Below are 21,764 nucleotides of genomic sequence, written 5' to 3' on the forward strand. Positions count from 1 at the left end.
AGGGAGGAATGAGCCAGTGGTGGAGGTGGGGGGATAGACAGGAAGCTATCACAGGAGTTCTCAGCTGGGAAGATGGAAGTCAGCACTAGGAAAAGTCACAGGAGGATCAAATTATTCTCTTCACCTATCTCTGGCTCCTCCAGCTGCCCCCTTCCATCAGCTGGTTTCCACAAATAACTGGCCCTCTAGAATCTTACTTAAAAAATGTTCTCAACAAAGGGTTCCTACTCCCACTCACATTACTTTGAAGAGATAAGCTGGAATGTTTTACAAACAACCAGCTGAACAGGTTGAAAGAGCAGATGTTAAGCTGAAATGTTGCAATGACTAGTTTTGGTTCTTGGAACACCAAACACTAGATGACATCAAGTGTGTATTTTTAGCCTTATTTATAATGTGACAAGTCACATTTCACTCTCTCCTCATTGTCAAAGGCTATTTCCAAAGGATTACGAAGGAAGATCTGACTTGCATTAAAGCTTCTTTGACTTTGAACACAGCACATGTTTTCCATAAGGAAATCAATAAAATCTGAGAGTAGAACTTGAATAATATATTTCATTTCTAATGCAGCACTCACCTAGATAATTTATAGTGTCTCATTTTAAACTTTGCAAAATCACTTGGATGGGTTCTTGTTCTTCTAGTTTTTTATAGTTCATTAATTCAACAACTATTTATTGTGCACTTGCCATATAGCATAGGGACACATATATTCATAAATTGTTGGAGATAAACAGATAGCTCTGATGAACTTCATACTTTGAAGGAGGAGACAGCCCCATGAAGAAACAATGAGAAATACAGTCTGATCATTAATATAAAGAGAGGTGTGAACAACATGTGAACCTGGCTTTTGAAAGGAGAGGCAGGAGGAGCCAGGGAAGGCTTCATGGAGAAATCTGGTTTTGAAAGACATAGAAATGAGATAAGTGAGCAAAAGAGGTTCCAGGTTGAAGGGCAATGTGTGCAAGCCTGTACCTCATATTCTAACATCACAGCATATGTACGACACTGTATCTAGCACAGTTGTACATTGTGTCATCAGTCTGTACAATATGCTTTTGTACTTGACTCTATAAATCATGAAGCTTGACAACAGTGGTGCAATTTTTTTGTTGTTATTGTTTTGTTTTTCTTTTTTCCTTGTGGTTAAGTTGGTGATCTCAAGCTTTAGCCTGTGAATGAATCAACCTGATTGATTAAACATGGGTGACCCGGGCCATATTCCCAAAGACATGATTCAGTTGATCTAGGTGGGGCCTGGGAACCTGTATAGTGTTTTTAAAAGCCCTCTAGTGATTTTAATTAAGAGCATCAGAAGATCATGCATTGAGAAACACTAGATTAGGGAGGATAGAAAGTAAGGAATTTCTGTTTCTTTTTTAGGTTTTTATTTGCAGAAGGAGAAAATGAGGAAGAGAAAGGGTTGGTAAACAGTGTAGGACAAAGGAAAACAAAAGTAGCTGAGAGAGGAATTGAGAGGTGTTGGCCAGTAGGAATCTAGGTATCAAGAAGATAAGCTGCTGATTGTCAGCGTTTGGGAGGGAGATTTGCACAGGAAGGTACACAGTGTGAGAAAATAGCAATAATACTATGTAATGTAAAAATCTTAACACAGAAATGGGCTGCAGCTATGCCAAGATAAAGCATCCTTTTACAAATATAGTAGAGAACTGTGACTGATGACAAAAATAAAAGTTGGATAGATTGTGCTGATAGTTTATTTGGATATTAAATAGAAGGTTGGCCTCAGAAAGTTTTTTGTTGTGTTCTGGCACCATCTCTGCCAATTGTGTTCTGGAAAATATCTCTTCGTGTTTATTTTCTCATCACAATGAAAAGAGAGCAATGATGTTACGGACAATGCCATGGCTCACTGGAACCTGTTTGTGTTGAAGCAACAGAGATTATCTTGATTTTGCAGTTTCCTAATATCATTTATTTAATTGCTGGTTACACCATTACTCGTGATGCTGCATTATTCATTGTGACCCCATGAATACTGGCTTCCAATGACACTCAAAGGTTATTATTGTGCCGAGTTAAGTGCCACATATGTACTTGTGATGACTACAAATGCAAGTTTTATGCAGAGTATTCAGAAAAAATGGAGAACAATAATTCATTTGCTATTCATGTTAAGTTTACAGACTGGAATGTTAGAGCATAAACTAGAGCAATGCAACAACCAGCCATGTTTTCTCTTTAACTTGTTAAATTGTAATGATGGATTCTGAGAATGTGATCCCTTTCTATGTGGCTCCCACCTGTGCCTTCCATTCACTGCCGCTCTTGGGGAGAAGATGTGAGAGCCCAAGGGCAGAGCAAAAAGAGCAGTCCCATTTGCACAAGAAATGACCATTTCTCATCTGTCATGGATTAAAACTGACCCAGGAGAGACCTCTATCATTGTACCAATCAGCCAAGAGAAGACAATGATGAGAAAGGTCCATTGGCTTTGCAGAGCAACAGATTCTCCAGAGCACTGCTGGATGCAGGGTATGGACCCTGAAGATAGGTGGAATGACTGCTTTGAGTGCCAGTGGGTGAGGGACACATAAGCTGAGAGATCACTGTTCCCACCATCCTTAGGTGCTATAGACAGTATGTGGCATCAGGGTTGAGATACAGATAGGCAAGAGCTGATGCATGGGACCACACATCTGGCTCAAACCCAAGTACCAGCAATGGTCCTCAGTAGCTTGGAGCCCAGAACTTATCTTTTCACTGGGGTAAGAGCCACCCAAGTTAGCCATTCTGATGGTCCCATCTCACATAATCCCATGAAAGAAATACTGCAAGAGTCAGCAGGAGTGATCCACTTGTCAGGCCACTGTCCTGGAACCTGCATCTGAACCATTCTCCTGGAGCCTATTAGCATGAGTTCTGATGCTCTTCAGGATCTTGTGCAGAGGAGAGGGTTGCAGAGCATTTGGAAGAGAAGAAATGGGGTTTAAGATCAGGACATCATGCCCAGACAGCATTGGTAGACCTGATTGAGTTCAGGCAACTGAGGGTACTTAGAAAATGCTGAGGAAGTCATACAAAAATACGAAGTCTCAAACAGGGGCCCTCCTTACCCAGATCTCAGGGCAGTACTGCTGTCTGGATTCATAATCACAATTCCAGTTATAAACTTTGTGATCTTGAAAAAGTTATTTAACTGAACCTCAGTTTCTTTATAGATAAAATGGGGGTTATGTCTTACAAAGTTGCAAAAATTATATGAGCTAATTTATAAAGTGTCCAGCATAGTAATGCTTAGTAAGTTTAGCTATTGCTAGCTACTCATACCTCAGCCAGGGACGTGGGTGGGGTCTGCCTGAGTTGTTTGGGTCTATAAACAACTTGTTGCATTTGGGCAAATTCTTCTATATAGAAAGTATTAGGTTGGTGCAAAAGTAATTGTGGTTTTTGCCATTAAAAGTAATGCCACTAAAAGTAACCTTATACTATTTGTTTCCGATTATAAAAATGATGTTTGTTTTAGGAAACTTGAAAACTATACAAAAACATTAACTCATTCAACTTATTGAACAAATATATATATATATGTATATATATTTTTTTCAGACAAAGTCTCGCTCTTGTTCCCCAGGCTGGAGTGCAATGGTGAGATCTCGGCTCACTGCAACCTCCGTCTCCCGGGTTCAAGCAATTCTCCTGCCTCAGCATCCTGAGTAGCTGGGATTACAGGCACCTGCCACCACACCCGGCTAATTTTTGTACTTTTAGTGAAGACGGGGTTTCACCATGTTGGCCAGCCTGGTCTCAAACTCCTGACCTCAGGTGATCTGGCCACCTCGGCCTCCCAAAGTGCTGGGTTTACAAGTGTGAGCCACCACACCCAGCCTCAACAAGTATTTTTTTGAGTACCTGCTATGTACTGTAGGACTGGTTTTAGACACTGATGATCCAGTAGTGAACAAAACCAATAAAGTCCCTGTCCTCTTGGAGGAGAGACATACAATAAATTATACACATATCTAATATAGTATATCATATATATATTTACACATATATGCATATACCTCTGTGTGTGTGTATATGTTTGTGTGTGTATATATGTGTGTGTGTGTGTGTGTGTATATATATATAACATAGGTGTTCATATGGTATGTCAGATGGTGATAAGTACAAACAGAAAAATAAGTCAGGGCATGGGGCATATGGAGTGCCAGAAGGTTTAGAGATAGGAGTTTTAAATATAGTGGCCAGAAGAGACCTCACAGAAAAGGTGACATTTGAACACGTTCTTGAAGGAAATAAGGGAATAAATCATGTGTCTTCATTCAGGCTGCTTTTTCAAAAATACTGTAAACGGAATGGCTTATAAACCAGAAAGATTTATTTCTCACAGTTCTGGAGGCTGAGAAGCCCATGATTATGGCACCAGCAGATTTGGTGTCTGGTGAAGACATGTTTCCTCACAGAGAGCACCTCTGGCTGTGTCCTCACATGGTGGAAGGGGAGGGCTAGTTTTGTGGGATCTCTTTTATAAGGGCACTAATTTCAGTCATGAGGGGTCTGCCCTCATAACCTAATCACCTCCCCAAAAACCCACCTTCTAATACTATCCATCACCCTGGGGGTTAGGATTTAAATGTATTAATTTTGGGGGGACATAAGTGTTCAATCTATAATGCTATGAGTATAACTGGAGGAAGAGCATTCCAGGCAGAAGAATGTAACACCAAGAGTTCTGAGGCAGGATCATGACTCACATATGTGAGGAACAGCATGGCAGCCAGTATGGCTAAAGCAGAGTGGTGATCAATAGAGTGATGAGTGATAGAAAGAAAAGGCAGTGAAGGAAAGCAGATAGTGTGGGGCCTTGTAGATCATTATAAAGACCATTGCTTTTATTCTAATTAACATGGGAAGTCATTGTTGGAGTAGATTGTCCTCCATGGACGTCTTACGCACCTTCATACTTCATTGCTAAGTATGCCAAGAATGCAAGTCCCTGAGCACTCTTTATCCAGACCATTTCTCCGAGTCGTGTTTGTAATGAGCAACCTTGAGGGATGCCTTCTTCCAGAACAAAGAGCAGGCTTGCTTAGTGCTTGCTATAAAATGATGCATTCCATGAACTCATTGTCCCTCTCTTATAATGTACCCCACTGCATATGCACATATTTATTTTGGCCCATTGCCTTGCTGTCAAGGGACCTGGAGAGTATGGAGAACTGATGTTTGCAGCTGATGCTCATGCTGCCTGCTGGGCTCTGAGTAACAAAATCCTTCATGTTGGACCTAGGAGTCTTTTTGTCTTTGCTAGCATCCCTGAAACACTAATAGGCTAATTTATTAACTTCGAAGTAGGGTAATATAAATCTCATACTCTTCACAGTTCTTGACAGCCATTGTAAAATTTTGATCAATAAAATGACATGATTTGCCTCATGTTTTAAAAGGGTCACTCTGGCAACTCTGTGGAGAATAGACCTAGAGGGAGATGGTGGAAACATGAAGACCAGCAAGGAAAGAACTACAATAATTCAGGTGAGAAATGGTGGTAGTTTAGATCAGGGTGGTTTTGTGATGTTGGTAAAAAATAGTCCCTTCTGGATGTAGTTAGTCAAACAGAATTTCTGACAAATTAGATATAATTTGTATAATTTGTGAACGAAAAAGAATAAAGATTGACTACAAGATTTGGTTCAAGAACTTGTATGAATTTTTTCTTAACTGAGATGAAAAAAAGGGGAAGGATTTTATTGGGAGAATGGTAGAAATTAAGCTGCTATTTCTTTACATGTTAAGTTTCAGTTGCATATCAAGCATTTAAATGAGTGTTGAGTTAGCAGTTCAGGTGGAGTTTAGAGTTCAGGGCAGAGGTCAAGCCATGAGATATAAAAGTGTAAGAAGAAAAAATACTTTCATAATCCCTATTTCTAGAGACAGACACTTAACTTGCTGATTTACTTCCTACCAGTCTTTTTATGTAGGTGTATTCTTTGAGCATGGGAATATTCAAAAAATGTATGACCTTAGGTAGAGGCAATGACATTTTATCTCTTAATTTGATTAAAAAGGCATTGCTGAAACTTGAGAATGATGGAGAGTCACTTTTTCATAGTAATAGACATGCAGAATTTTAAATGATCTGGCAGAGTGTCACCTGGAGTTGTGTTGCAGATGTTCTGCCACACAGATTTGGCTGTGTCTACAGGTGCCACTCTGAAGAAGTTGGATGACTTTTTAACTTGGACCAGACTCAGTGATTCAAAACAGTTTCTTGGCCACATCCTTTCCAATTGAAGCTGAAAATGGGCAGATGTGTAAACAACCCTGGACAAAGAGGTAGCATACTTTTTCTACCCTAACCAGCATGTTGACAACTTGTGCCATGTTCATTACCCTGTTGTGGGTTCTCAAGTAAATTCCTTTTAGTAGAATTCAAATCGTGATTGTAAAAATTCAATCTAGAAATTCTAAAACAGCAGTTATTCTGAGCTCCCAATGTGGGTAGAGAAATGATCCATGTGGTCTCTTGACGCTGAGGCCAGCTTTGTTACTACGTGGCTGCTTTGGGCAATGTGGTGTATTGCTGTGTTTCTCAAACTTGAGACAACATCAGACTTCTGGGAGAGCTCATTAAAACACACAAATCCCTAACACCACCTCCAAAGTTTCTGATTCCACAGGCTTGGTGTGGAGCTCAGGGCTATGCATTTCTAACAAGCTCCCAAATGCTGCTGGTACTGCTGCTGGCCTGGTGACCAGCCCTGGAAAGCCACGGGTTTAGTTGTTAAGAACACTGGCCCTGGAGCCAGACTACCCAGGTTCAAATTAAGCCTTCATCCTGGGCAAGTTTCTTAACCTCTCTGTGCCTGGTTTCCAAATAGATAGAATAAGGATAATTATAATATGTATCTCATGAGTTTATTGTGAGGATTAGGTAAATGAATGAATATAAAGTACTTAGAACAGAGGTTGGTGCATAGTGTGTGTGTATATATGTATATATATATATGTTTATATATATGTTTACTGTTCTTATTAATTTTTCTTGAAAGTAGTTACAATGATTCTCAGTTTCTGGAAAAAAAGCCTCATTTTAATGTCTGCAATTTGGGTTAAGGTTTATATAGAGGGCATAATGGGAAATATGAACAAATTGCATGAAACAAGATGAGTGGTAGAAAACTTAAGGAGAAGTCAGCTATATGGACAACCAGTCATAGTCAGGGAAAAAGTTGGGAGAGCAAAGTTCAAGTAGAGACAATTTGCTTCCCTTCCCCACTCCCTAGCTCCCCAGCTCATGTTAACAATGGTAGAACAACACACACACACACACACACACACACACACACACACACACACACACTCTCTCTCTCTCTCCCCCTCTCTCAATCTCTCTCGCTCATGAAATATTCTGCCTTTTGCATCCAAGCTGTTCTCACGGTGATCATTCAGTCATTTCTTCCATAAACTTGCCTTTTATCCTATAGTTGAAGTGACCGGCTTCACTTCAAGATCAGGTTTGTTGATATTTAAGCAGCTTAGAAATTCTTCAGCTATGGTATCCCTGAGGCCTTTGCTCAATCATCCCAAAGCCAAGAAAGCTTCCGCATTGTGTTGTAGTAATTTTTTCAGAATTTAGGATATGAATGCAGTTTTCTGAGCACTACATTACTGTAATATGATTTGAACCCAAATTTAGGTTCCCTGTACAAATCTGTCTGTTACTTCCCCAAATAGAAAACAAAGGGTTGCTCTGATAAGAGCTGTGAACCACAGTGAGGATATGTGGCATGGATAGGCCTGTCTTAACGGGCTCTCCCAATCCCATGGGGCTCCCCATGGCTCATTGCAACTCATGACATAATTCTGGGCAAACTTCAGTGTCCACATTGACCTATCCAGCCCTCTAGGAATTCCTTCAGTCATTCATTTCAAGGACATTTTCTTCACCTCATTTTAGCAACCCACTTTTATGCCAATACTCTGGACCTTCAATTAACTGTAATTGTTTTATCTCTGAAATCTTGAACTTTGACATTCCATCCTTTGATCATAACTTTTGACCCACTTTACTTGCTCTTTCATCTCATTGTAGCTTTGATTGTTATCTGCACTCCCATTTTCTTGGCTCTCTCCTGTCTTTCTCTATCCACCCAGAACTCTCTAGTTAATCATTTTAACCTCCTTCTCAGTAACTCCTCAAGCACTTTCTCACAACTACCGCCAACCCTCAAACCAGGGCCCACAGAACAACCCTTTCTCCCTGGATTGCCACGTGCTGAAGAAAGCACACAAGTGAGTTAATTAGTGTCATCACACATTTGTGATTTACAGTTATGGCTGAGCCCTTGACAGTGAATAAACAGGTGCATGGACTTCAGTCACTCATGTGAGTTGCTCCACATCGTGTGCCACAGGAGAGTAGCAGCAGGACTTCCTTTATTTAATGATGGCTAATACTTCTCCAGAGGAGAATTCTAGAAAAGCAGCTAATGGAACAATAAAATTAGTCACACGAGCCATGATATTTTTGGACAATTCAATAAAGCTCACTGTTTTCATTGCCAGACTTTCCCCTGCTACCACACAGGAATGTGACAGCTGGCTTTCTGGACCCTGATCAGAGAACTGTAGCCTTCTCTAGTTCCTTATGTCATTGTTGCTTCTTTTGAGCAACAGGATCCTACTTACAAAGCTACTTAGAAATCAAGTAATCATTTTACTGTAGGTATGAGGCTTCTCAGGGCCCGAATTGCCTACCAGTGGTAAAGGGCTCAGTAAGGTTACAGATTACTGCCACCTTGGTGTTTCTGATCATTTACCCACACCTCAACTCTCCGCAACCTGTATTCTTGATTGTTTTCCAGATGCAGTGCCCAAACGATAGTTAGAATCCTATCTTTAGGACCCCCTTCACTGAGGAATCTTGGAGGAATTGTGGTTCCTTCCCTAGGTGACCAACCATTCTCATTTTCCCAGAATTGAGGAGTTTTCCAGGATGCAGAACTCTCAGTGCTAAAACCTGGGGAATCCTGGGAAAACCAGGATGATTAAGTCACCTTGTTTATGGCTCCTTCCATGTTACCCCTAAACTTGCTTACATCAGAAAAATATCACTTAACAGCCTTGAGAAGCAGCATTCTCCAGAGGCTACTTGTAAGTCAGCCAGTTCTCAATTACAGCAGTTAATTCTAAACTAAGTCTTTTTATGTACTTAATAAAAATTATAAAAATAGTTCTTAGTTTAATACTCAGATGTGTAGTTGCAAATACTCTCACCAAATGTTTTACTTCCTTTATGCTGGGAGTAGCCCCCTATTTAGGAGGTTGGTGTATGTACACAACAAAACCTTTCTAAGGCACAGGCTGTCCATTCTCTCCCCTTTTTCCCACTCCACCCCACCCTGCTTTCCCTCTGCTCATCTTCGTCAGCTGAGAGGCCCACTGAGAAAAAAAACAAAATGGCGGGTCAGCAAGGTTGCTTCTTTGGCTCTGTTCCACCATTTTGCAATGTCAATCTGTGACTCTTTTTGTCTTCATGGCTTGCCCATGCCCTTATAGCTTATTTTCCTAATCAAAGAATTGTTGGATATGCCATATGGGGCCATGACGCTCCTTTTGGGAGAGAAATGTATCTTTCTTCCAGTCTGATGTAGCATCTATTTTCTTTCGTGGTCCTTCACTATTCAGCAGGTGTGTGTCCCAAGACAGACATAGAAAACATGGTCATTTCTCTAAATTACTGAAGATGGTGTTCCCTCCCCTATAAAAAAAAATTATTTTGATGTTTTCAGTGGGCCCCAAGGAAAAGAGTAGAGAAAAACCACCTTTATTTACTGTGTTCACTAGAATTGTTACTTTGGGGAAAAATATCAATTACACATTTCTCTATTTCCTCATGAATATTTATTCTTTCTCTTCTCTTGGGCACAGGTAGTGTATTGGGAACCCACACAGGGATTGGCTTCTTAAGGACTCTGGGCTCACACCTCAACCTGACAATCTGGGGATCAACTAAGCACAGCTTCCATCTATTTCCTTTCATCACTGTCATCATTCTGCCACTTCCTTTTTCCCATAGGAAAAAAAGGGCATAAAATTTTATGAAAATATAAATGACAGTTTAAAATTATTTAAACATCAGTGGAGAGTTTTGAAAAATTTTTAGTGTTTTTTTTTTTTCTTTGAGATGAAGTCTTGCTCTTGTCCCCCAGGCTAGAGTGCAATGGCATGATCTTGGCTCACTGCAACCTCTGCCTCCTGTGTTCTAGTGATTCTCCTGCCTCAGCCTCCCAAGTAGCTGGGATTACAGGCACCCGCCACCACGCCCTGCTAATTTTTGTATTGTTAGTAGAGATGGGGTTTCACCATGTTGGCCAGGCTGGTCTCGCACTCCTGACCTCAGGTGATCTACCTGCCTCAGCCTCCTGAAGTGCTGGAATTATAGGCGGGAGCCACTGCGCCTGGCCTTTAGTGGTCTTACATTAAACATTTTCCCCACCACTTAAAAAAAAAGACAGATGAGAAATCCAAGTTTCTCTTTACCCTAATGAAAACATTTTGTGGAAAATCAGTAAAATTTTTCTGTATTTAAGAAAGTTAAGAGATGGCATTCTCTCTCTTTTAGAGACTTAAAATTTCCATTTAAAGAAGATTGTGATAATTTCTACTTGTTTCTTTGTGATTGCCAAATAAATTTTTTGTAAAAAAGCCTTCTTTCTATGTAGCTGAATATACATCTTGGATTTAATTAAGTTGTTATAATTTAAAAATCGAATTTGTCCCTTAGAAGTCTGAATTTTACAGGTCTAAACACTAGCTTCCTAAATGTCAACTACTACTGCACATTTATTACTGCATGATGTAGTAGTAATTCTCTTTCGAGCTTTCAAAGGCTCAACTCTGCTCTGTAACTAATGAGACCTAAACCCAGTGTTTCATGCTGCATTATCAAAACTGAAGGTTGATTTTATTTGATGGGGAAAAAACAAATGAGGAAAACTTTGTAAGACTAGTCTAACTCTGAGACTGCAAACTTAGCAAACCTAGTGACATTGAAAATAAGAGTAAAATCATATCTTTTCCTCAAAATTACTTATCATCAAAAAATTTTTCTATGCTATGTTTAATATATTTAACCCTTTTTGAGTGCATTCCAGGAAATAGAAATGAAAGGTGAAATGCAGAGCCCTTCCTTTAAGGAGCTCAATACATTATTTCCTATGTGACAATGGCCACTCAGTGCTCTGAAGTTTTTGGAATACTCTTCAACTCAGTTGTCCCCATAAGTTCAACCATAATTTGGAAAATATGATCACTGGATTTATGATAGACATACAGCTTTTCATGTGAAAAATAATCAAAACTCCAACTCATTACTTGACACTTTGCAGAGGGCTGTCTTCTTGTTGTATCCTCACATGGTGGAGAGCAAACAATGAGGGCAAACTCTCATGTCTCTTTTTTTAAGGGCACACTAATCTCATTCACGAGGGCTCCATCCTCAACACTTAATCACCTCCCAAAGGTCTCACCTTCTCGTGCCATCACATTGGGAGTTGGGATTTCAACATATAAATTTTTCATTGGGGGGGAAACATTCAGTCCATAATAATATAAAGCTCTTAGATCTGGGATACGGTGAGTCATCAATAAACTATTAGCTTGTATACCAAAATGCCTAGGCTGCATCTTTGCCAGTTTATATCAAAGCATCTTAAAATTCTTACTGTTCTTCTACCCTTTTGTGTTTTACTCTTTTCCATATCAGGAAAGCACCAACCTCCATGTACTTATTCAAACCAGAAGCCAAGGATAATCCTTTAGCAGTGTTGATCATAATCCTGAAAATGGGGAGAAGTAAAAGACATAGAGCTCATTTGGGGAACATTTCAAGTCAAGTGAGAGAGAATTATGACCAAGGGACAGTTGAAATGAAGGTAAGTTGTTTGGCATACAATTAGAGGTAGAATCAACAGGATTTTGGAAAGGGAAAGGAAAGAATTTTGGACTTAAGGTATAATAGATAAGGTATTAAAAATCAAGACAGGCCAGGTGTGGTAGCTCACACCTGTAGTCCCAGCACTTTGGGAGGCCGAGACGGGCAGATCACTTGATCACTTGAGATCAGGAGTTCAAGACCAGCCTGGTCAAGATGATGTAACTGCTTATCTACTAAAAATACAAAAATTAGCCAGGCATGGTGGTTGGCGCCTGTAATTCCAGCTACTTGGGAGGCTGAGGCAGAAGAATCGCTTGAACTCAGGAGGCGGAGGTTGCAGTGAGCTGAGATTACACCACTGCACTCCAGACTGGGCAATAGAGCGAGACTCAGCCTCAAAAAAAAAAAAAAAAAAAAAAAACCAAGACAGAGAAAATAGATTAGGAAGTAAATTATGGGTAAATTAAATGTTTGGGGGACCTACTGAGTTTACAGTATTTGTGATACATCCAGTAAGCCGTTAGACAAGTCAGATTGTTGGAGTGAAGTGGGCTAGAAATACTGGCGTCAAAATCCTATGTACGTAACCAGTGGTTAAAAGACATGAATAAATGATATTGATGAGGAAACCGGAGTAAAAAGAAAAGTGAACTAAATGTAGGACTCAGGAGAAGATTAGTGCCTAAACCCTATCCTAGTTAAAGAATATCGGAAAGATAAAAAATAGGGCATTTAATGGTATAAATCAGTTTTCTTTTTATAAAGATATAATCCCAAAGTCATCTTGTAGTTGAGCAGATAATACAAATATAGCATAATTTTCAAATTCAAGAGGTACTTTATTTTATCAGATGGAAAATATGACTTTGATTTTTTTTTTTTTTGAGACAGAGTCTCGCTCTGTCACCCAGACTGGAGTGCAGTGGCACGATCTCAGCTCACTGCAACCTCTACCTCCTGGGTTCAAGCAATTCTCTGCCTCAGCCTCCTGAGTAGCTGGGATTACAGGCACCCAACACCATGCCTGGCTAATTTTTGTATTTTTAGTAGAGATGGGGTTTCACCATCTTGGCCAGGCTGGTCTTGAACTCCTGACATCGTGATCCACCCACCTTGGGCTCCCAAAGTGGACTTTGATATTTTTGAGAACTATAAAAATATCTTTTAATACAACCTTTCCTGAAGAGGCATTATTTTGTGTCTACCTCCTTGAGAAATCTCACATGCCCAGAAAAATCAGTATTTAATTCCCAATTTTTGGTAATATTATTATGCAATATAATTGGCAAATTCTTTGCAGTAGCTTGGGTAAAATTTCCCTTACATAAGCAAATAACTCTTAAAAATTTACTGGCAATGGTTTTTAAACATATGTTAAGAATTAGCATTTATTTCTTTTCTGTTTTTTCTCCCCCCTTTTAACAAGTAGTCTAGTAATAATGGTATTGTTTCAACAACTTTAAAAACAAATGGGAAATAAAAATTTAAAGCCATTAAGAGACTTCATATAATTTTGCGTATCATTTTGGAATGTGGAAGACATCAAGGCAGGTTTGGAGAACAGGATCTGAAACTGGCTATCCCCTTAATGGGAGACATCTGTCCCATCCACAGATGTAGGGCAAAAGTCAAGTTCACTAGGTGGACAGAGGCACAAGTAGGCAAAAACTCCAGAGCATTAAAGGCCCAGTCACAAATAGCATTGACAAAAAGCAAAAATGAAGATTGAGTTGTATTATATGTATATTACCCTATATATATTAATTGTTCTTCATTTCTTTTATGTTTTTTGATATATGTGGAAAAGCAGAGGCATTTAAAAGTGGGATTCATTCATTCATTTCTTCATTTACTATTTACCTAGGTACATAATATTAATTGAATAGCCTGTTTAAAGGCACTTGGGATATTAAGATGAATGCCAAAATATCTGCTTTTAAGAGACGACATACAAAATATTTTTTGTAGATTCCTACTCTTTCTTAAATCCAAATAGAAACTAAAATTTAAAAAGTGAAATAATCCTAGATACAGAAAGTATCTAGGACTATATAACAGACACTTAAGTGCTTACCTCTCAGAATGTACAAAAAATATCATTGTACTGTATTTGTTGCAGGTTGTTCTGCTTAAATACAATAAAGATTCAGTATGACCTTTCCTATCCCATTTTCCTCCCTCCATCCCCAGAGACTGGCACTGTCTTGAAGTTGGTGTATATCCCTCTAGTCCATGTTTTTATACTTTTACACTCATATGCATGTGCCCATAAAGAATACACAAGGTCTTTTGTTTTGTTTTGCATTTGTAAGCTGTAGAAAGATAGTATTACATTATACACATCTTCTTTGATACTTGTGTTTTCACTCTCAACAGTCCATAATTTCAACACATAATCAGTTCATTTGTTTTCTCTATTATTTAGTGTTCTGTTATAGTCATGTAACATAACTGATTTTGTCATTCATTCTCAGTTAGACATTTACTTTGTTTCTAGTTTTTGTTTATTATGAACTTGACCACATAGATATCCCATACATGTCTTCTTATAGAGACAAGAAAATTTCTAAGATTTATACTGAGAAGTGGATTTTTTGGGTTTCAGACTACATTCGGTGTCAAGAGTACTAGATATCATAAAAAACATTGTCACAGAAGTGGCTGAGAGTTCCTGTTTCCCAGTTACCTCTCTATACTTGCTGTTATCACATTTTAAAATTTTGGCTTATCTATTGCTAAGCCAAAGTGTCTGGTTATTTTATTTCTCATTTATCTGATTAATAATGATTTTATACATATTTGTACAAATTTGCATATGTTTATTAGCATTTCAGTTTTGTCTCCTTTTTGTAGACTGTCTTAAAGAATATTAGGAGTTCCATATGTATTTCCAATACTATTCTTGTTGCATGCTATGTGTATTGCAAAAATCTTCTCTCAGTCCATAATATATGTTTGAATTTGGATAAAGGCTATAAGAGGAGTTTGATAAACCAAAAAATAAATGATTCCAAGGTATTTTGGCCTGAGAAATCATCCATTGTCAGGGGTGAAGAGAGAGCCTGATATATCCACCAACTAGTCCCTATTCCCTCTGTTCACAGAGTCTCCAAAACTATCTGCCTTGAGTCCACTAAGACTAATCTCATTATGCCTCTTATTATTGTTTTTGTCAGTTATCACAAGAAGCACCAGATACCAGGGTCAGTCTTTATTTTCACACCGTGCCAAGCTCTGCAGATCCCCTATTCTCTATTGTCCACCTTCCCAACCCTGAAGTCTTTACACTTTGCTCTTTGGAATTGATGGTTCATCATTAGCAAGATTCATAGCCTCAAACATTTTGGGAAGCCCCACTCACCTCCTCTGGATCTTACCTCAATCTCACTAATTCCTGTATGCCCCCTGAAGTCGTGGCTGTTGGAGTCCTCTCACAACCCTGGCATTAGCATCTTTCTTATTTTCCTCTGAACTTTCTATGTGTTCAAGTCTGCTTTTGGTCTCTCGGTAGCACTGTAAAGTTTTCTACAAATATTTCTTCAATTTATTCCTTGATATTTTATATCATAATGTAATATAAATTTTATAGTCTATTTAATTCTAATTTTCACACTTTCTTGTTTGAAATATAAGGTCCATTGATTTGTGTATAGTTATTTTGTATCCTGCCACCATACTTAATTCTTTTATTTTTTGAAATAGTTTTTCAGCTTTTCTGTTGAGTTGAAGTCTCATGAAGATGAAAGTCTAGGCCCCCCACTTGGCCATGGATAGGTGTGGACCACAGTTTGTTTGCTCTGTTGGTACCTCTTGACTTTTCTACATTGCTGGCTTTTTCAGATCCAAGTGTGGGATATATGAGACAAAAAGAAAACTCAGGGGACTCACCACCATGTTGTTCCTCAGGTCTTTAGCTCCCTAGCTGGTCTGCTGCCTTCTTTACCACCTTTATTATGTTCATTTTACATATAGCATTCAGAATTTTTTGGCCAGGCATGGTGGCTCACGCCTGTAATCCCAGCACTTTGGGAGGCTGAGGCAGGTAGATCATGAGGTCAAGAGATTGAGACCATCTGGGCCAACATGGTGAAACCCTGTGATTACTAAAAATACAAAAAATTAGCCAGGCGTGGTGGCACATGCCTGTAGTCACAGCTACTAGGGAGGCTGAGGCAGGAGAATCACTTGAATGAGGGAGGCAGAGGTTGCAGTGAGCCAAGACTGTGCCACTGCACTCCAGCCTGGCGACAGAGCAAGACTCCATCTCAAAAAACAAACAAACAAACAAAACAAAACAAAACAAAACATTCAGAATTTTAATTTATACTGAATGAAAGAAATAGGGTAAAGTATCCATTCTTTTAGTTTTAACCTCTTTGAATTACTTTGCTTTCAAATTGCCTTTTCTTTAATGCGTATATTTGGGTCTTGTTTTGTTAACCAAATTGAAAATTGATTTCTTTAAATGGGAAGTTGAGCATATTCACATTTATCGATATAACTAATATGCTTTGTCCTGATACTTTGTAATTATGTGTATTTTGTATTTGTTTTTTTCTGTATGAGATGTACATTCTTTGTGCTATTTATTATTTGTACAGTCTAGGAAGGTTTGTGTTTTTATTCTAGTGGTTACCTTTGTATTTATTATTTTTATAAGTGTCTTTAGTCTATTTTCTTATCTGCCCTTTAACTATCTGGTTGATACCATTTTTTTCCCCAGTATCCTTTAGTGCGCATATGTTGCTTATATAGCACCAAGCTTTTCCTATTTTTTGCTTTCCTTAGTTGTTGTACTTGGTTGTTTTTTAGTTGCTTCATTTCTACTTTTCACAGGATATAATATTTATACCTTAATTTTCTACCCTTATCCTACATTTTTTTCAGTCTTATGTGTACATTTATATATTTTAAAATGCAGCTGGGTGTGGTGGTTCATGCCTGTAAGGCTAGTACTTTGGGAGGCTAAAGAGGGAGGATTGCTTGAGGCCAGGAGTTTGAGACCAGCCTTGGCAACATAGCAAGAACCTGTCTCTACAAAAATGTTTTTTAATTAACCAGGCTTGGTGGCTTATGCCTGTAGTCCCAGCTACTTGGGAGACTGAGGTGGGAGGATCCCTTGAGCCCAGGAGTTCAAGGCTGCAGTGAGCTATGATTGTGCCACTACACTCCAACCTGGGCAATAGAGCAAGATTCTGTCTAAAAAAAAAAAAAAAAAAAAAGCTCATTATCAGTTCTTCTAGTAGAGCTTTCCCAGTCATCACTTATGTGAAGTTCATGCTCTAGCAAATTCCTCAAGAAGGGATGCCATGTGTAGAATCTCCTATGTTCTTGTATGTTGAAAATATTTCTACTATTCTTGCTATTTGAAGAACAACTTGATTGGACATAAAATCCTTGTTTCACATTTTCTTTCATTGAGTATTTTTATAAAGATTGATTCATAGTTGTCTTGTTTGGTATTTGGTTTTGAAAAGTGTAATGGCATTCTAATTCTTTTGACTTTTTAAGTTATTTTAGATTTTTGCTTGGTGGTCTTGAGAGTCTTGTCTTTATTTTTGAAATATAATAATTTTACTAAAATAATGTCAAAGAGTTAATCATTTTGGGTTAATTTTTGCCAGGTACCAGGAGAAACTTTTCAACGTGTAGATTCAGATGATTTTTTTTTCTGGAAATTTTTCTTGGACCATAATTTATTGCTTAGTGTAGTAACCGATAGGTGGCCTTCTAACCCATGCTCCCCTCACACCCTCCCCACCTAAGGTAGTCCCTACTGGCCCTTGTTCCCATCTTTGTTTTCAATGTTTAGCTCCCGCTTATGAGTGAGAACATTCAGTATTTGGTTTTCTGTTCCTGAATTAATTTGCTTAGGATAATGGCCTCCAGCTGCATCCACGTTGCTGCAAAGGATGCAAGATTTCATTCTTTTTTAATGGCTGTGTACTATTGATGAATATGTACAACATTTTCTTTATCCAGTCCACCATTGGTGGGCATCTTCGTTGATTCCATATCTTAGTTATTGTAAATAGTGCTGTGAGGAAAGCTCCTAGAGCTGATAAACAACTTCAGTAAGGTTTCAGGATACAAAGTCAACGTACAAAAATCAGCGACATTTCCAAACACCCATAAGGTCCAAGCTGAGAGTCAAATCAACAAGTGCTATTCTTTAGAGCCTTTGGGAACCTGCAATTCATTCTCTTCAGAAAGGGCAGGACATTTCTATGTGTGTGTAGAGCACCTTTCCACATTTTCCAGTATTTCTTCTTTTATTCTTGTAAGCAGTAAAGGCTCCCTGTAAGCGATCATCACAATTATCAGGGAAGCTAATTTGGTATAGGCAAAGGTAAGAAAATGTAACACACTGACTCTTTTCCTGAGGTTTATAACACCTAAGAAAAGATAAGGTTCATGAACTATCTTGGTTTCTTCTCTTTTTGCAAGAATGTAGTATATTAATTTGAAAAAAATCCAGAGTAATTCCACGACCAATTTTCTCCATGTTGTCAGTTATAAATGAATCAGTCAACTAGTCCCTTCTTGATGAATCATGTTGTTTTCTTGGCTTTTGGGACCCCACCCTCTCCTGGCTCCCCTTCCTGCCACTCCCTCTCATCCCCTATACTGGGTCCTCTTCATCTGTTTATTCTTTAAATGTTGGACCTGCCCAAAACAGGTCCTAGGAGCCTTCTCTCTCTCTGTCAGACATTTATCTCATGACTTCATGTAATTATCCATATATCAATGAATTCTAAACTTAACATTTTCTACTCTGATCTTTCACCTGAACTCTAGACATGTGCATTCTGTTCCCTATCTAGCATATCCATTCTATTAAGTATCTCAAATTCAACATGTCTGAAACAGGTATTTTCCTCCTTTCTGCTACTCCACCCAGTAGCACCACTCTAGCAGCTTACCCCTTCCAGTATTTCCCACTTACCCAGTGTTGTTCAAGCCAAAAATATTGAAGCCTTTCTAGTCTTTCAGTCTTTTTTCAGAGATATGGATTTTAAGATGTGTCTGACTACCAAATTGACAGAATGAACTTGTGATGGTTAATTGTATGCCAGCTTGGCTAGGCCATGATACCCAGATACTTGGTCAAACATCAGTCTAGATGTTGCTGTGAAGGTATATTATTCAGATGAGATTAACATTTAAATTGGTAGACTTTGAGTAAAGCAGATTATCTTTCGTAACGTGACTGAGCCTCATCTAATCAATTGAAGGCTTTAAGAGGAAAATAGATTGAGGTGTCCTGAAGAAGAGGGAATTTCTGCCTCAGACAACCTTCAGACTCAAGATTGTAACACCAGCTCTTCCCTGGGTCTCCGGCCTGCTGGCCTGTCCCACAAATTTTGAATTGCCAGCCCCTACAATTACAGGAACTAATTCCTTAAAATTAATCCATCAGTCTCTCTCTCTCTTACTCTGCAGACACACACACACACACACACACACACACACACACACACAATTGGTTCTTTTTCTTTGGAGAATCCCAATATGGATTTTAGCAGGTTGGTGGGACTGCCCATTCTCTCTACTCCTCCTGGCACTAGAGATTTCAGGTCAATGGATATCTCACTGAGGGTTGGTGGTTGATAGAAATTTCAGCCCTGACACCACTTGCACTTCACTCATTGTTCTTGGGGAAAAACATTTTCCTTGTTATCTTTCTGGTTGTTTTTGTCGTTGTTGATTTTTTTTTTCTTTTCTTTTTGGGTCATTCTGCTACCTCCTTTTTCCTCTCATATAGTCCCAGTTGTTTATGTATTCTTAAAAACTCGCACTGTTAGTATGCTTCTGAAATTTCTTAGTTTCTTTTTGAAGTCTATGTTTTTGCTTCTATGTGAACTAAAAAAAAGTAAGAATAAGATGATAGAATAAAAAAGAACAAGTCCTGGGTTGCCAGAGACAAACCAGGGAAAAAGGAAATAAATATGAAAACACAAAAGATGTAACTCCTTCACAGTTGTAAACATATAGCAAAATAATAATTATGCCCAAAATACGTCCAAAGTCTTATTTTTAAGTTCTCATAAAGTTGATCGTAGTTATTAATCAAATTGCTGCTGTGAAGTATTGCTGTTGGGAAATATTTTTTACTATCTCCCTCTGTGTGTTGGTCTTCAGCAGTTTGAAGCTCATTTGGTGCTATGTTCAAATAAACTTGAGAAGAAAGATTCCTTCCTGGGAACTTATGAATGGGACTTGTTTTGACTGAATTAACTTAGATCATGTGTTGGTCTTTTAGCCAATACTAAGTCTAGACTGGTAGCAGCAGCCCAGAGTGGAGCCTTACTTGAACTAGCTGGACTGAGAGTGAAGGAGAAATAAGTATCCCGGTGAAATTTGGGATGCCATTCTCAGAAGAGAGAAGGAAAGGATCGATCGTTATGGGAAGATAACACACACACATACACGCACACACACGTATAAATATAATAACTTACTAAATGGTGTTCTCTGGGTATTTCCAACTTTCTGATGAAGATAATCATATTTTTGAAGGTATAACGCTTTCATTTTTCTTTTATATTTCTTGTAACATTTAGCATATGTTAACCTTACCCTAGACTCTCAATATATAGAACACTTTTCTATAGTTTTTAATACATAGATTTAGTATCTCAAATAATTATTTATTGTGAAATGTTTAATAGTCTAATCCAAACTGCAGCTTATGGAAAGAAGTAAATGCTGATCACATTGCTGTGAACGTTTGTGACTAAAATATTCCTTAGTTTGTTATCTATATGATTCTGTCCATCTACCCATTAAACAAAGTGAAAGGGTATCTATCTAGTGTAGAATTTTTCGACTTCAACGTGCTTATGACTTACCTGAATTATCTGGGATCTTGTTTAAATGTAGAATCTGATTCAGCAGATCTGGGATGCTCTGTAATCTGGATTTCTACTAGGCAATGCCTATCCTACTAGTTTGAGGACCACACTTTGAGTAGCAAAGTCAAGGTGCCATATGCCTCAAACTTTTATTGTGCAATTAAAATGGTCACTCATGGCTGGGCGCGATGGCTCACGCCTGTAATCCCAGCACTTTGGGAGGCTGAGGCAGGCAGAAAACCTGAGGTCAGGAGTTCAAGACCAGCCTGGCCAACATGGTGAATGGACCCTGTAATATCTATTGTTCTTCCAGGTACGAGACTAGATAATTAAGAGAGTCTTAGAAAGATTTTCAATATCAATGTTGATCAGAGAACTTCAGTGTCTGAAAGTCTTCTGTGTCCACTCTGATTGAAGAGTACAACAGCCTTGGACCCAGGCATCCTAGGTTAAAATCTAGTGCTGTGTCTGTAAGTTTTGCATGTATCATTAAGTTTTATATGCAATTCTAAGGATAATCTAACAGTGTGAGAGAAGACGGCTTTCATCATCCTTGTGTTCATAGTGGACAATATACCCTTCTAATATGGTGAATTAATATTTTTATAAATCTTCTAATCATCTTGGGAATAGCAAAATTATATTAAAAATTTGGTGTTAGATTTAAACATTTGTATATAATTCAGTTTTCATAGACTTGTTTGGGCAGGTCTTCATGTTTCAAAATTTTGGCAGACTCAAAAAAAGGAAACAGGCTGTGTCTCAAATTTTGAGAGGTTCTGCCTAAAATGCAGTTGCTATATATTTATCCTTTTTTTCCTTTTTGTGCAGATAGGGTCTTGCTGTGTTGCCCAGCTGGTCTTGAACTCCTGGGCTCAAGCAGTCCTCCTGTGTGTGGGGATTATATGTATGAGTCACTATGCCCAGCCATATTTATTTTTAATAATATACATTGACTGGCTGTAGTCACCCACACCTGTAATCCCAGCACTTTG

The 21,764-nt window shown here is 38.5% G+C and overlaps 1 long non-coding RNA gene across 1 annotated transcript in view; it reads left to right on the forward strand.

The window, feature by feature from the left end:
* Positions 1–21,764, forward strand: part of LINC02066 (long intergenic non-protein coding RNA 2066) — a 105,814-nt gene that overhangs the window by 78,807 nt on the left and 5,243 nt on the right. Inside the window, exons 2-4 of the long non-coding RNA NR_183765.1 lie at positions 5,421–5,508; positions 6,179–6,309; positions 11,744–11,912. This is a non-coding gene — a long non-coding RNA (long intergenic non-protein coding RNA 2066). The remainder of the gene's footprint in view (positions 1–5,420; positions 5,509–6,178; positions 6,310–11,743; positions 11,913–21,764) is intronic.

Source organism: Homo sapiens, chromosome 3, assembly GCF_000001405.40.
Source record: "Homo sapiens chromosome 3, GRCh38.p14 Primary Assembly".
Lineage (NCBI taxonomy): Eukaryota > Metazoa > Chordata > Mammalia > Primates > Hominidae > Homo > Homo sapiens.